The sequence below is a fragment of the Homo sapiens genome, chromosome 17 (assembly GCF_000001405.40).
Source record: "Homo sapiens chromosome 17, GRCh38.p14 Primary Assembly".
NCBI lineage: Eukaryota > Metazoa > Chordata > Mammalia > Primates > Hominidae > Homo > Homo sapiens.
This window is the reverse complement of record NC_000017.11, coordinates 11661788-11677255: the sequence shown is the minus strand read 5'-3', so window position 1 is coordinate 11677255 and position 15468 is coordinate 11661788. Positions and strand designations below refer to the sequence as shown.

Genomic DNA, 15468 nt, shown 5'->3' with positions numbered 1-15468 from the left:
AATGGAAGATTTTTAATACAATTATCTTAGTAAGTGATGATAGATTAAGTAGATTAAAAAAAGGCAGTGAAGATACAGTAGATTTGAATAGAATAATTAACAAACTTGAACAATAGGCATACATAGAACATTCTACTCAGTACTTACAGAATATACATTATTTTCAAATATGCCCAGAAATTTATAAGAACTGAATATACTATATTGAATAAGGCAAACTTTAACAAATTTCAGAAGCTTGTTATTAGACATATCATTTCTAAACCACAGCACAATTAAGTTGGAAATTAATAAAAAACTATAACTAGAAAAGTCTCACATTTGAAAAATTAAAAAATCTAAACCCATTATAATTAATATTAAAAGTATTTAGAACTAAATTGTAATGAGAATATTACATACTAAAATGCAAGATGGAGGTAAAACTGTATTTAGAAGAGAATTTATAACTTTCAATGTTAGCATGCAAACAGACAAAAGACTCAAAATTAACAAGCAAACGTTAGCCAAAGAACAGAAAATAAATCCAAAGTAGTAAAGGAAATAATAAAAGAATAAATTATTGAAATAAAAATAAAACCATAATAAATAAGATCAATGAGTTTATTAGATAGTTTTTTTGTGTCCGGCAAGAAGAAAGGAAACCAGAAAGCACAAATAAGAATGAATAGAAGGCCAGGTGCAGTGGCTCATGCCTGTAATCCCAGCACTTTGGGAGGCCAAGGCAGGTGGATCACCTGGGGTCAGGAGTTCGAGACCAGCATGACCAACATGGAGAAACCCTGTCTCTACTAAAAAATACAAAATTAGCCAGGCATGGTGGTGCATGCCTGTAATCCCAGCTACTTGGGAGGCTGAGGCAGAAGAATCACTTGAACCCGGGAGGTGGAGGTTGCAGTGAGCCGAGATCGTGCCATTGCACTGCGGCCTGGGCATCAAGAGTGAAACTCCGTCTCAAAAAAAAAAAAAAAAAAAAAAAAGAACAGAAATGAAAAGAGGGAGACACCATAGGCTTTGCAGAGATTAAACAGTTGAGAGGATCTTATCCATTTTATAATAATAATTTGAAGATTTACATGAGATGGATACATTCCTAGAAAATATGACTTACTAAAAGTGACTTACGAAGGAATAGAAAACTTCAATATCTTCATAATCATTAAAGAAATTATAGGCTAAAATCTTCTTACAAAGAAAATCACAATCCCAGATGGCTCAATAAGAAATTTAAATCAAACTCTCACAGATCAGAAAATTTCAAGATTACACCAACTCTTCTGGAGAAAAAATAAGAAGAATTACTTCTTGTTCTATGAAGCTAGCACAATTACAAAACCAAAAACCAGATACAGACAGGAAAAAAAAAAGAAAATTGAAGGCCAAATTCAATCACAAACAGGTGCAGTAATGCTAAACAAAATATTTGCAAACACAATAAGCCAGAGAGTATATTGAAAAAGATAATACTTTTTGTTGGGCATATCTCAGATGCTAGGTTGTTTTAACATTAGAAGCCAAATAATATGTTCACCACTTTAACATCTTGAGGGAAAAACCAGAATTATCTTAATGGACATAGATAAAACACTTGATACAATTTTACATCCATTTATGCTAAATACTCCTAACAAATTAGAAATAGAAGGGAAATTTTAAAATCAGATAAAGCAAATCCACAGAAAACTCACAGCAAATATTATACTCAGCAGTGAAATGTTAAAAGCACTCCTTTTAAGATCAGAGACAAGACAAAGACGTATGTTATCCCCACTTTCATTCAACATTCTACTGGAAGTCCTAGCCAGAGTGGTAAGATAAGAGACAGAGATATAAAGCATAAAGACCGAGAAGGAAGAAGAAATAAAACTATCATAAATTAGTAGATGATGACCATGTACGTTGCAAACACCAAAGAATGTACAGATGAATTATCAAAATTATTAAATTAATTTAGCAGGATTGCGTGATATGAAATCAATGTACAAAATCAATTCAATTTCTACAGAAAATATGATTTTAAAATATTATTTATACTACGAACTGAAAAACAAAATACTGAGGAATATATTTGAACAAAAATATGCAAAATTTTTAAAGACAATGATTACAAAATTTCACCGAAAGACATAAAAAGGATGTAAATAAGCAAAGAGACAACATGTTCTTGGACAAGAATATTCAATATCATCAATTCTACTCAAATTGATCTATAGTCACTACAAATATAATTAAAATCCTAAAAGATTTTTTTCTTCTACAAACTGATGACTAAAATTTATATGAAATGGTAAGGACCAAGAACTGTCAAGATATTCTTGATGAAAATGATCCAGGTGGAGACCTGCCCTGCCAGATATAGAGATTTGTTACTAAGCTACAGTAATTAGGATTTCTTCATATTCATGAGTGCTAGATAAGGGACTATTTAATGTGAAAGATAAAATTTTAAAACTTTTAGAAGAGAATACAGGAGGGTATCATTAGGATATCAGGGCAAAAAATGGATTTATTTAACAAGACAAAAGAAGAACAACATAAGGGAAAAGTTGGACACATTTGGCCACACAAATTAAGAATTTGTTTATCAGAATACACCATAAGTGGAGTGAAAAGACAGGTCACAAAATGGTAGACTCCATTTGCAAGACATACAATAGCAAAGGACTAGATATAGAAAATGTAAGTAATTCCTAATCATAATTTCAAAAAGGAAAAAAAAGTCCAGTAGAAAAATGAGCCACAGATATGAATAGGCAGAGAAAAGGAAACATAATGACTCACCAAAAACATAAAAAGATGAGGACCTTTTTATACTCAGAGTAGTGCAAAATATTTACCACAGTGAGATACCATTACACTCCCACCAGAGTGGCCAGGATTGAACAATTTATCAATACTAAGAGGTGGGGAGGATGCTAGGCTGTAAGAGCTTTCACCCATGGCTGTCTCTACCTTGGAAGGAGCTTGGCATTATATGCATACTCTTTGACTTAGCAATTCCGCTCTTAAGTATACACCCTAGAGGAATGCTTGCCCATTCCATGATCACATATAAGAGTTCTTACAGCAACATTGTTAAAAGGGAAGCAGTGTCCTTAGGGAAGAGCAAAACCACTGGAAACAACCCAAATGTTCAACAACTATGGAATGGACAGATACATTGTGGTACATTAATCTAAGGGAATACTGTACGACAGGGAAAATGAACTACTGTTATACTGTCAACCTGGATAAATCTCAAACATAATGCTGAGTGAAAGAAATAGAACACAGAAAAATATATGGCATACAATAATATCATTTTTATGAAGTTTTAATGCACATCTCCACATAGGTATGTATGTATGCATATACATATGTATACATCCATATGCATACACATGTGTATATATCCATATACATACACACATACACAAAGTGATGAAGAAAAGCCTGGGAAGGATTATGTCACATTTAGGACCCTAGTAACATCTTGCAAGGAGGGAGAAGGATTTAAACTTTAAAATATAGCCAATGTTCTGTTTCTTAGCTGGATGATGCAAATTCACATATTCTCTTTAATATTGTTCTCTAAATTGTATGTATGTTATATTTCATCATAAAACTTTTTGTAGAGAGAGAATGGGAGGTGAAAAACCAAAAAAAAAAAAAAAACAAATATAAACACATCTTTTGAGAAATTTTGCTGTAAAGGAGTGCATACAAAAAATTGTGTTGTAGCTGGAAGGGCTTGTGGGGTCATACTCCTTTCTCTTTTTCAATGTGGCAAATATGACAATATGCCCACATGCTACTAAGAATGTGTAAAGGAAAGAATTGATAATGTTGGAGATAGGGAATATTTAAGAAGGTAAGTCCTAAGGTGAGAGGAAAGAGACTGGATTTAGAAAAGCAAGGACAGCTTATCCACAGTCATGGGAGAGGTGGTTGAATATCCAGCTTCAAATGCAGGCATGTTGGTAGATTTGTTGGTGAAAAGGTGAATTAGTTCTCTCATGATTGATACTAATTTCTCAGTGAAATGAGAGGCAGAGTCATAAAGGCAGAGAAAATATTTGAAGGAAACAGGAGTCTGAAAGAATTGGGAAGTGTCTAGGAAAATGTGAAGGGCCTACCTGAATTTTATGTTCACAAATGAAATGTAGGACTGGTCAGAAGACTGGTTTGATTTTGCTTCATCAGGGATGAATTGCTCAGGAGCAGGTGTGGAGCACTGAGTTTAAACAGTCAGGGTTTTACAAGGTGGGAATGGGAGGGAATGGGAGGGAACAGGGACCAAGGATGATAGACTCTGAGAAAGCAGGGGAGTCAGTGAATTGGAAATCCTGATGGGTTTGAAGAATTCTGTGCAGCAGTGTTGCCAAGTAAGTGAGGTGGAAAGATAACAGGTGGAGGCCAGGGAGTGGAATGCTTCAACCTGAGCTTCTGAAGGCAGAGCAATTACTTCCCCATCATTCTCTGAGCCCCACTGAGAATGCAGAAGAGATGTAGGTAGCAGAGGTATGGTAGAGTGAAGGGCGTTGGAGGGAGGAGGTCAACGATGTAAGAGCCAGTGTGATGGAAATTCTGTGGATGCTGGGTCATGGCGGGTGACTATCAGCAGAAAGTGGGAAGGGTGGGAAGGGAAACCTCTGAGCCAGACGCTAAGATCTGCACTGGTGAGCAAGAGGGACTAATGGCAGCAAGGCAGAGTGCAGTTGGTATTGTCTGAGAATTCACGTCAGCAGAGCTGGTGATTTTGAGGGAAGATGGTGGTGAAATGGTCTGGAAGCAGCACTGAAGAGCAACCATACCTTACCCACCTGCAGGCCTATTGGTAAGAGGGATATAGGAGAAAAGTCAGCCTCCACTTGGGAGGGCTGGAGGGAAAGCAGTGTCCTCAGAAGGGAGCCAGGTTTCAGTTGGAGCAAAACGGTGATGAGACAAGATGAAAGGGACAGTGGGCATTTGCTGCTGTAAGATCCTGAGGTCTGGTGCAAGGGCACAGGAAAGCTTTGCAAGTGCAGAGGTAGGGGTTGAGTCAGATTAGGGCAGGAAGAGCTGAATGAGATGAGAATTTACGTAATAAAAGGGGGTTGGACTTCTGGCAGTGAATGAAGTATCTAAAATGCAACATAAGGTGGGATTCATCCCGACCTATTAAGGAAAGGTGGAAATCACATAATTACATGGCACAGAGGAGACAATAATAATTTTTTTATTATTTCTATTTTATCGAATCCTCCAGAATACAATAAAATCTTCTTCTAAAGTGTAACACAATAGCCAGTTTCTAGAATCACCAACTGTTAAAGCTAGAAGACGGAAGACACCTTAGAAGAATCCAGTTGGGCTGTCTTCTTTCAGAGGTGAGGAAACAGGGATCCAAGGACACAAAAGTCAGGCCTCCTAGCTGCTCTACTGTGTGTTCATCCTGTTAAACCAACCCCATTAGATCTTTAAAGCCTGCCTGGTTGATGCCTATGGCAGCTGCTGTTACCACGTCCTGTATCAACCATGTGTTTTTGATCCTTTCACATCGGGGTCTTAGAAACTCTAGAGGGACTTCCCTGCACAGGGCTGAGCAATTCCTTGAGACAGCAGTGGCTGGCTCGTGAGCACACTTTCCATATGCAAACCAACTATTCCAGAGTCCAACCACCTCCTCTATGGGGCTCTCATGCTCTGGGCCATTATCCCCCTGCCCTAATCAGCCCAAGGCCAGGTCCCAGACAATTTGGAATAGCCTCTATGCCCCAGAGCTACTGAAATGTTCAAACTCGCCAATCCTGAGCCTGCTTGCCATGTCTTGTCTATTCCTTCCCACAGAAATCACAACAAAGGCTCCTGCCTGTATTCTCTGCCCCCCCTCTGCTTCCTGATGGACGCTGGAGCTCCCCACTGTGGCCCTGTATGCCATACACCGTCCTCTTGAGAACTATGAGTAATAATCTATCTGCTGTAAACTGTCCTCCTGGGAACTGTGAGTAATAACCTATCTTTTTATGGGAGTCATCTGCTGCTCTGTAGCCTTGCTGTGCCTGAATAATAAAACATGCATTTTGAAACATGCTGCTTATCCTTGAATTACCAGACGTAGCAATGAAGAGGGACCACAAAGCAGCTGTCTCCTCCAACAGTGCTCCATCCTGGGGCATCTGTCACAGTCCTACCACCCATCAGCATTTCCTCTTCTTGCCTCTGAGTTCCTCAGGGAAGAAAAGCTTTCATGAAAGTGGAAGAATACACAGGAAGCCCTATTTAAAACATCCCCAGTCAGGCACGGTGGCTCACACCTGTAATCCCAGCACTTTGGGAAGTCAAGGCAGCCGGATCACCTGAGGTCAGGAGTTCAAGACCAGCCTGACCAACATGGAGAAACCCTGTCTCCACTAAAAGTACAAAATTACCCAGGCGTGGTGGCACATGCCTGTAATCTCAGCTACTTAGGATGCTGAGGTAGGAGAATCGCTTGAACCCAGGAGGCAGAGGTTGTGGTGAGCAGAGATCGTGCCATTGCACTCCAGCCTAGGCAAAAAGAGCAAAACTGCATCTCAAAAAAAAAAAAAATCCCCACAAAGCGTTCTTGGGGTTTCCTAGGGTGGTTGAACATTACCCTTGGAAAATCTCTCAAAGTTTATTTGTAGATAGATAAAATTCTCAATGTTACCATTTTCTTTCTGCCTATGGCTCCAGATCAGGGAGCAAGGCAGTGGCAGCATTAAGCAAAACCAGCACTAAACTGAGGAGGGGGTCAGGTTGGCCTCCCTGCAGTCTCATCCAGCACTCCAAAGGGCAATCACTGTGCAGAGGGACTGGTGGTCCCCAATGGGATTCTGAGAAGGGGGTCGAGATTCTAATTGTGGTGGGTATCTGGGGACCAGGCCAAGGTAAAGTGACCGGGGGACTGTTGACTACATGGATTATTCATTCAGAGGATGATGCTCTGGCTTAGAGAGCCTAGTGCTGGGCTGGGTGGTCTAGGTCACAGTAGGACAGACAGAATTTCATATCCAGCCTGTTGCACAGTGAGAATGGCACAGACAAGCAGTCAGGAGCACAGAGTTTTAGTGACATCCATATTGCCCAGCTGGATAATCCAAGACAAGGAATAAGAGGTAGAAGTAAAACAAAGAGGCCCATTAGACCCTCTCTCCTTCCCAAGCTTAAAGAGATTGCATGGAGCTGTGAAGGAAGCTTGGATCTGCTATTATTGTCTCTAATATTCCTTACCACTTAACCACGTGCCTTTCACACACTGGACATGAAACAGAAAACAAAACAAAGAGGCCTTATCTGGTGAACAAAGAAAAGGGCAGGACTTAAGTTACCATGGTGTCCAAAAGCCTAGAACCTCTAACCAGCTGTCTTAATCTTTAATTTAACCAACATACCCATGGGGAAAAAATATAAAAAAGGTTTAAAAACATGGTGTTCCTCACAGCCTAGCATGCTGGAAGAAAGTGAAAACAACTGTTGTACCTGTGAGTGACGTGGTCCACAAGATGCTGTTTGAACAGGAGGCTCCACCTCTTAATAATATTCAGCAGAGATGCCTTAAAGGGTCGAATATCAATTTTCATCCAGCCGTCAAACACCTTGATGGGTTCCAGCCTGCACACCTCTTCATAGAGCGTTTCATAGGAGTCGATTTGCACTTTAAACTGAGAAAGGAGGGGAGGGTTCTCTGGGATGCCATCTTCCACATGGTCTTCAATTTCTTCCGGAGTGAGGATGTGCCCGTACAGCAGAAACTGACCCAGAACCTCCTTCCGGTCCTCCACATAGAGGTACGAATACTGGCTGAAGGTGCTCTGATAGCCACAGCAGAGGCCCATCATTCTCTGGACTCTCTCCATGAGTGTGCGCCGCATGTTTGCCAAATCTGGTATACCGTCCAGGTCGACCTGGGGAAGCGAGACAACGGCAGGCAGGTTACACCAGTGTGTGGCAGGAAGTTCGAGATTCGGCTGGACGGGACACAGTTGGAGGGCAGGATGGCTGCAGCTCCAGTACCTGATAGTGAGGAGAGCCATTTTGTGGGGAAAGCCGTGGCACCAGAGATGGTATCCTAAAAATGCTGGTGATGAGACCCTCAACAATGTCACAGAAACCCCCCTTCACTCCAGACTCCAGAGACGGATAGAAAACTAGCTCTGGGATGGCTAGACTCAGTTGTGCTTCAAATATTGGGGTAAGTCCTGCCTTACACTCTGAAAAACACAGAAAACAAGCAAACAAAACAAAGAGTGGATAAAATGGACAAAGTAGAGGACTGTTTTAAAAGCACCCAGAGCAATGCTTTTCTTTAGATAGGCTGCTAGACTGTAGGGAAACGGAAATGTAAAATTTTGTTTACATCCCATACAATGTGAGGGTGATAGTCTTGCAGTGCTTCTCAATGGGGGAACCACTGACATTTGAATAGGCCCATTCTGCTGCAGGGCTCTCCTGGGTACTGCAGGATATTTACTTTCCTTGTCTTCATGGAGCACATCCTAGTGACTGATCAGCCCAAGCCACTCCCCTTCCACATTCTCAAATGCCTCCTGGGGGACAGTCCAGCCTCTGGTTGAGAAGAGATTGATTGTTTTTTTTTTTTTTTTTTTTTTGAGATGCAGTCTGACTCTGTCACCCAGGCTGGAGTGAAGTGGCACAATCTTGACTCACTGCAACCTCCACCTCCCGGGTTCAAGAGATTCTTCTGCCACAGCCTTCCAAGTAGCTGGGACTACAGGCATGCGACACTATGCCCGGCTAATTTTTGTATTTGTAGTAGAGATAGGGTGTCACCACACTGGCCAGGCTGGTCTCAAACTCCTGACCTCGTGATTCGCCCGCCTTGGCCTCCCAAAGTGCTGAGATTACAGGCATGAGCCACCGCGCCCAGCCAACAAGAGGTTGATTTTTCAAAGCCCATTTCTTGGAAGCAGCTGATTTCTTCCTAGGCACAAGCCATACAATTCCACTTATCACTCTAGGTGAACAGGGGCAGGCTTGTCAACGATGTACAGACATGAACCACAAAGAGAAATTACAATTCTGCCTATTCTGCTCCTTATCCTTTTCTAAGAAATAATTTATTGCTGTGGTCCTGTAGTGATAAAAATTTTAAAAACAGTATGAATAATTAACAAATCCCTGATTACTTACTAGGTCAACTTGCCTTGCTAAATTTAAATCAAAATACAACACAGAGCAAGATGTTCCAGGTACAAGATATATGGTTAAAGTTTTTATCAATAACCACTTATTTTTATATGACTTTTCAATTGTAGTTATATTTAGGAGCCCGTTATGGGCTGGATACTGTGGGTGGCAGAGCCTGTTCACTGAAATCCATCGTTGTCTTCTTCCCTTGAAATAGAGTAATAACTGGGATTTGACCAGATTTCCCAGCCTTGCTTGCAGACAGGTGTGGCAACGAAATTTCCTCACCAGTGGATGTAGGACAACATGATGGTGCCACTTGTGGGCTGGGACTCTTGAGACTGCAGGTGATCCTTCTCTGTACTCAGTCTCCTTCTCCTCTACCAGACTAGAGCCTGGACATGGCAGTGAGTCAGTTCAACCCCAGAAATGAGGACAAGGCCCTGAAGAATGGTGGAGCCATAGGACAGAAGGAACCTGCCCATAAGACTGGAACACTCACCTTTGACTCTTGCTTTCAAGGGTAGACTTCTCTGTCCTTCAAACCATATTGTTGATGGAGTTTTTGTTACCACAGCTTAGCCACTCACCCTAAGTAAAATACTGCAGTATACTCAAAATACGTAAGAATAGGGCCTTGCCTTCAGAACTGGAGGGATGACAAATTCTCATTATTGGACTCAGGACAGTCCCAATATTTAACTTAAGGGAACACAAGATTGGACTCAGGAGAGTCCCAATATTTGACTTAAGGGAACACAAGTTTACCAATAACAAAGTAATTATACTACTATAAGTTTATAAGATGGTATAGTTTATAAAAACTACTATGTTTATAAAATAGTATAGCTTATAAAATCACCTATAATTTGCTTTATATATATACTCATGACATATTCTGCATTAATATACATATTATGTACTTATAAATTAATAGACAAAGTTGCATATAGTTTACGGAATTCAAAAGACTTGACAGAATGTTTTGACTGTATGAGATTTTTGTCCCATATGTTGACATGGGACTGTAATCTCTACATTGGATGTAACGCCAATGTAATTATCATCCAAAGCAGATTGTCCTGGTTCCACAGTGTTGGTGCACGTAAATCATTTTACTAGGTAAGAGGAGGAGGGACATTTCTCTATGGAGTGGGAAGCATATAACCTATGCAGGGTTTGGGTTGAGAGATGACAGGGAAACCAACCCAAGCCTTGGGAATGCCCTCAACAATGTCATAGAAGCCCCTGCTCTGCTCTAGACTCCAAAGGTCAAAGAAGTCTACTCCCCTCCAGGTTAACAGTGCAAGGTGAGTGTTCCAGTTTGGTGGACAGGTTCCTTCCATCCTGTGGCTTTACCATTTTCCAGGGCCTTACCCTCATTTATTGTGGGTTTGACCAGACAAAATGGTAAGGTGGACCTAGGATGACAAAGCCACCCAACTGAGTCACTGCAAGGGGTCACCATGATTTTCTTCTCAGAGGCCCCTTTAGGCTCCTTTACTTCCCCTTAGATAACCAGTGCCTTTCAAATTTTATCTATAGTGCTTCAGATCAGGCAGCTGATAAATTCAGCTCCCACCCGTTCGAAGGAGAATTCGAAGGGCCTCTATATTGTGAAGAAAATGTGTTCCCCTGTCCTCCTATTTCCACAAAGCGAAGGAAACTTTGGTAATCTTGGAGAAAGACTGCCATCTCTTCTCTCCATCCCCTGGTCCCACTCTGTCCTTCCCACAAGTGGACACATGGCACATCGGATAGCCCAGATCAGGAGAACCAGAGAGCCATTGGTCAAGGATGAAGTCATTTAGGCACCACTTCTAGTGCACTGCCTGCACCCAAGTATGGCTGGGGTATCTTCCTAGATTCTCTAGGGAGGGCTTAGTGATGAAGCCCCCTGAACCTCCAGCATTAGAGGAGGCTTGGTCAGTTCACTAAGGTGGACACCACCAGTGCTGGTCCGTAAGAGCCAGTTATCCAGACTTGGTGCCCGTGTTCCATGCCCCATTGGCTTGTTGCTCCCAGGCTCCAGAAGATGATCTCTTACCTTGCTAACTATGCTGGATTTCCTGAGTCCTGTTGTTGATTTCCTTAGTTTGGAGCACCCCTGTATCCTGCAAGCAAAGACCATGCCTAACACCTCAGCCATTCTACCTATCAAGACCATGGGGATGGCCATTGGGGCTACACTCAGTGCTGGGCCTTCCTTCTCTCTGGATTCTCAACGTAGGTGTCTGCATGTAGTCTCTTTTATGGGCTGGATATCTGGACACTGGCCTTGGACTATTTATTTTACATCAGTATTTCATTTCAATCCTTGAGTTCTTAAAAACTCTCATCTTACTTCCATCCTCTGGCTTCAAACTATTTACCTCTGCCTTACCATTTTGACAAATCCTTCTATAGGTTATTTGCTAAGCAACTCAGAATCTGCCAGAATGTGAAGGTTTAATTCGACTTTTAGTCCTGAACTCTTCTGCCCTGTCCATTTCATCATTCACTAGCTAAGGTTAGCCCTTTCTGTATCTTTCACTCTGTGTACCTTACCCCAGTTTATCCACTATAAATTCAAAGCCTTTAATTGTTTTTTAAAAGCTTCAAAGAATGCCCATTGTGTTCTACACATTTCTTTTTCTTCTGAAAATTACCTCCTCCCCTACTTCTTGTGTGACTCTTTCACTCAGAAAAACTTCTGTTTCTTCCATTTAACCTGGCGGACACAATCTCCTTGTGTTCTCAAAAGTCTACAGAGATAAAATACATGAAGCTTGAAGGCACAGAATGTCCCCCACCCATTGCCATAAGTCAAGCTTGGATGAAGCCTTCTGCCTTTATTGCTAACAGTGCTTCCTGCTTCTTAACGTGGTCACTCCTCTTTACTGAAGCTTGATTTAGAGTGAATTCACTTTTATACTTTTGCTATGTGCACCACTGTCTTACAGCCTGGTTTATTATCTAATTTTAAGCGTCAGAAATCTTTTGTCTTTGAACAATTTAGAAGTTCGATACCTTTTCTGTTTTCCTGTGCATCATTCACAAAAGGTCTACAACGTTTTGGGAAAAGTCACAGAGCACTCAGCTGCTCTTCAATATAATTCAACAAATGTTACTGTTGTTATCTTTCCAATAATAACCCACATCCATAAGCCAGTAAGTACCAGTATTTTCCAGAAGATACTTGAGGGAGCACTCAATGGCAAGAAAGAATCCATTCAGCAACAAATTGTCAATAGAGTTAACATAAGTCTTCCAGATATTGGAGGTTGGGTCTGCTGAAAATAGACCCAGGTTTTCCTATAAAAGGAAGAAGAAAGGATATAAACCTCGTTTAATAGCATGAAAGAACTGGTGTAATCAACAGTCAAAATAAAAACAACATATGGAGAAAAAAACTCTCTTGTGGAGAATTTGCTATTACACATGTATCGAATCCACTCTGCCTAATGAGTATTACCATTGACTGAAAGGAAGGCAAAGTTAGTCCATGACGGTAATATAGGGGACAACCTGTCCCTGAGGAAGGAGGATGGGGTTGGCCCAGCTTCTCAGAAGCAATGCTGATGGATGCAATGTGTGTGCTTCCTAAGTGCTGGTTGATATACTGTGGAGGAAGTTGCATCAGGGCAGAAGTGAGGGTAGGCAGAGGAAGGAATTCTAAGGGTAGATAGTATTAAGATTCAAGGTTTAATAAAAATTTCAGGTTCAAAGAAGCAAAGCATTTTCTGGTTAATTCTTAGAAATGAGCTGAAATGTTTTGCAGTTGGCATTCAATCCTACTGAGTGATTTAGAAAATGCACACAAATAAATAAAAAATGTTTCTCTCTCTCTCTCTCTCACTCTCTCTCTCTCTCTCCCCTCCTTCCTCCCCGCCTTCTCTTTTACATGATACACTCTTGACCTATTGGCATCCAAGCATCACCATGGTAACAAAGTTTGGGCTTCAAGGAAAGGAAGCCTAAATGCTCCAGCAATGCCAAGTACAGACATCCCATTTACTCTTTGTCATTTGCAGTATTAACACTTTTTACAGCAACTTTCCAGTTATCTAATATCTTCAGAAAAATCAGGAACTAACTTGCAGACGTAACTTTTCTAGATGATTCATATTTACCTCTTCAGGGTGTATTGCCATGTTATAAATCTCCCTGGATTTAAACAATCTCATGATTCTGCTTTTAGGTAACACAACTCTACAATTTCTAAGATGCAATACCTACACCTTTCTTTCTTAAGTAGACTTAAGATGTTCTTTGTGACTTAAAGTCCATCACCATGCAAATCACAACACAGTGACAAGACAGAGTTTCTCTCGGGTATTAAGATGTGTATGCTTGTTTGCTTCCACATTAAATCACTTCTAGTGTTTATGACTGCTTTGTATAATTGTTCTATCTTCTCTTACTGTCAAGCTATCAATATAATATCTATATCTTTCACCTTTGTTTACTGCCTCAAATCTATTGCGGTCTAAGAAACAAACGTGTTGGAATTTTCTATGAAGTAGGAAGAAATAGTTCAGGTTTCTGATTTTAACCACAACAGCAGAGAGTGAGATTGTACTTGGTCTTCTGCAAACAAACACAGAACTGATTATAATAAAAGAATTAATTGGTTTGGGTAACTGGATAACAGACAGAACAAGAATGTGATCCTTGAAACAAGGGACATACTCAAGGTGAGCCTCACCACCACCTGGCTTTCTACCCAAAGGCCCTTTTCAAACTATGGCATAGGTTAGTGGAGCTTAGTTACAGCATCCCTGCTGATAGGCAGAGAAGACAGAATTTGGAGTTTGGTGCTGCTGTCGGGGCTGGCTCCTCTTGAGTCTGACTGAGGAATCAGCTATATATGTTTAGAGCAAGCCTCTGGTAAAGAATAGTTGCAGAGTGCTCTAAGCTGAATGGAAATTATGTAGGCCATATAGTGTTGGAAGATGTTAGGGTTCTATTAGAAATAATGAAGCAACCTTGCAGATAACCCAGGAATTCAGTTGAGACCCTGGAAACACCATAAGTTAGAGCTGCTCGATTCCAGAGTAAGTCCTCTTTAGACCCTTAAAAAGCGAGCCTCGGGCCGGGCGCGGTGGCTCACGCCTGTAATCCCAGCACTTTGGGAGGCCGAGGCGGGCGGATCACGAGGTCAGGAGATCGAGACCATCCTGGATAAAACGGTGAAACCCCGTCTCTACTAAAAATACAAAAAATTAGCCAGGCATAGTGGCGGGCGCCTGTAGTCCCAGCTACTTGGGAGGCTGAGGCAGGAGAATGGCGTGAACCCGGGAGGCGGAGCTTGCAGTGAGCCGAGATCCCGCCACTGCACTCCAGCCTGGGCGACAGAGCGAGACTCCGTCTCAAAAAAAAAAAAAAAAAAAAAAAAAAGCGAGCCTCAACAGGATCAAGGTGATCCATCAGCAAATTAGTGGACTGCCAAAACAAAAATCAAACTCTTTAAAGGAAAAAAATCCAGATTCTCAAGTGGCATTCAAGTGGCCTCCAACATGTCTAGCACATAATAAAAAAATTACTAGACATACAAACAAGCAGAAAAAGGTGCCATTTAACCAGGAGAGAAAACAGTCACTAAAAACAGATTCAGAAAATAATCTGGGTAGGTCTCTGATTTCATAATTGTCATTCTAATCCCAGAAAGCCTATTCATTAAACCTATTTTATGTGAGAGAAAATTAAACTTCTGTCTCATTAAAAAAGAGAAAAGAAATAGACTCAGAAAATAACACAGATATTGAAATTAGTAGATAAGAATATCATAATTTCACAAAATTTAGTGAAAAAGAATTTCAAGAAACTTACAAACTCCAAGCATGAAGAACACAATGACGACCAACTTGGGAATATTATCACTGTGCTGAAAAAATATCAAAGATTAAAAAAGAATCTAGTAAAAGCAGCCTGAGATAAATAATACATTACATATAGAGAAACAAAGATTCAAATTATGACTGACTTCTTATAAGAAACATTGGAGGGTAGGTGATAATGAAATAACTTCCAAAAGAAAGCAAAACTATAAACACAATTGTGTACCAAATGAAACTGTCCTTTAAAAACAAAGATGAAATAAGGACATTTTTAGATAAACAAAGACTGAGAGAATATGTCATAAGCAGACCTGAACTTGAAGAAGTAGTAAATAAATTTCTTCAGGCTGAAGAGAAATAATCCCAGATGGTAATTTATATCTATAAAAGGGAATAACAAGCCTGAAGATGATGAGTATGTGAGTAAATATAAAACACTGTAAATATTTTTTCTTAAATTTTAAAAGTAAAAACTATAACACTGCATTGTGGGGCTCAATATGCATATTAATAGATACCA

General features: G+C 40.5%; 1 protein-coding gene across 6 annotated transcripts in view, besides 4 other annotated features; it reads right to left on the bottom strand.

Annotated features, from left to right (window-relative positions):
• The window catches only part of DNAH9 (dynein axonemal heavy chain 9), a 371279-nt gene that overhangs the window by 292493 nt on the left and 63318 nt on the right, over positions 1-15468 (bottom strand). For all 6 annotated transcript variants that reach the window (XM_011523703.3, NM_001372.4, XM_017024292.3 and 3 more), the window contains 3 exons: positions 12288-12423; positions 7996-8192; positions 7462-7886 (listed from right to left, as the gene is read on the bottom strand). In XM_011523703.3, the coding sequence (XP_011522005.1) occupies positions 7462-7886; positions 7996-8192; positions 12288-12423 (758 nt within the window). The remainder of the gene's footprint in view (positions 1-7461; positions 7887-7995; positions 8193-12287; positions 12424-15468) is intronic.
• Positions 6896-8095: an enhancer, noted in NCBI's record as "BRD4-independent group 4 enhancer chr17:11572478-11573677 (GRCh37/hg19 assembly coordinates)". NCBI's record gives its function as "activates an origin of replication core promoter dependent on BRD2, P300/CBP, MED14 and CDK7 cofactors, and independent of BRD4, by STARR-seq in HCT116 cells {active_cell/tissue: HCT116}" and the evidence as "EXISTENCE:reporter gene assay evidence [ECO:0000049][PMID:35650434]".
• Positions 6896-8364: a biological region, named in NCBI's record as "BRD4-independent group 4 enhancer GRCh37_chr17:11572478-11573677".
• Positions 7424-8364: an enhancer, noted in NCBI's record as "OCT4-NANOG-H3K27ac-H3K4me1 hESC enhancer chr17:11572209-11573149 (GRCh37/hg19 assembly coordinates)". NCBI's record gives its function as "activates a minimal SCP1, AML or CMV promoter by ChIP-STARR-seq in primed H9 embryonic stem cells {active_cell/tissue: H9 hESC(primed)}" and the evidence as "EXISTENCE:reporter gene assay evidence [ECO:0000049][PMID:30033119]".
• Positions 8365-9306: an enhancer, noted in NCBI's record as "OCT4-NANOG-H3K27ac-H3K4me1 hESC enhancer chr17:11571267-11572208 (GRCh37/hg19 assembly coordinates)". NCBI's record gives its function as "activates a minimal SCP1, AML or CMV promoter by ChIP-STARR-seq in primed H9 embryonic stem cells {active_cell/tissue: H9 hESC(primed)}" and the evidence as "EXISTENCE:reporter gene assay evidence [ECO:0000049][PMID:30033119]".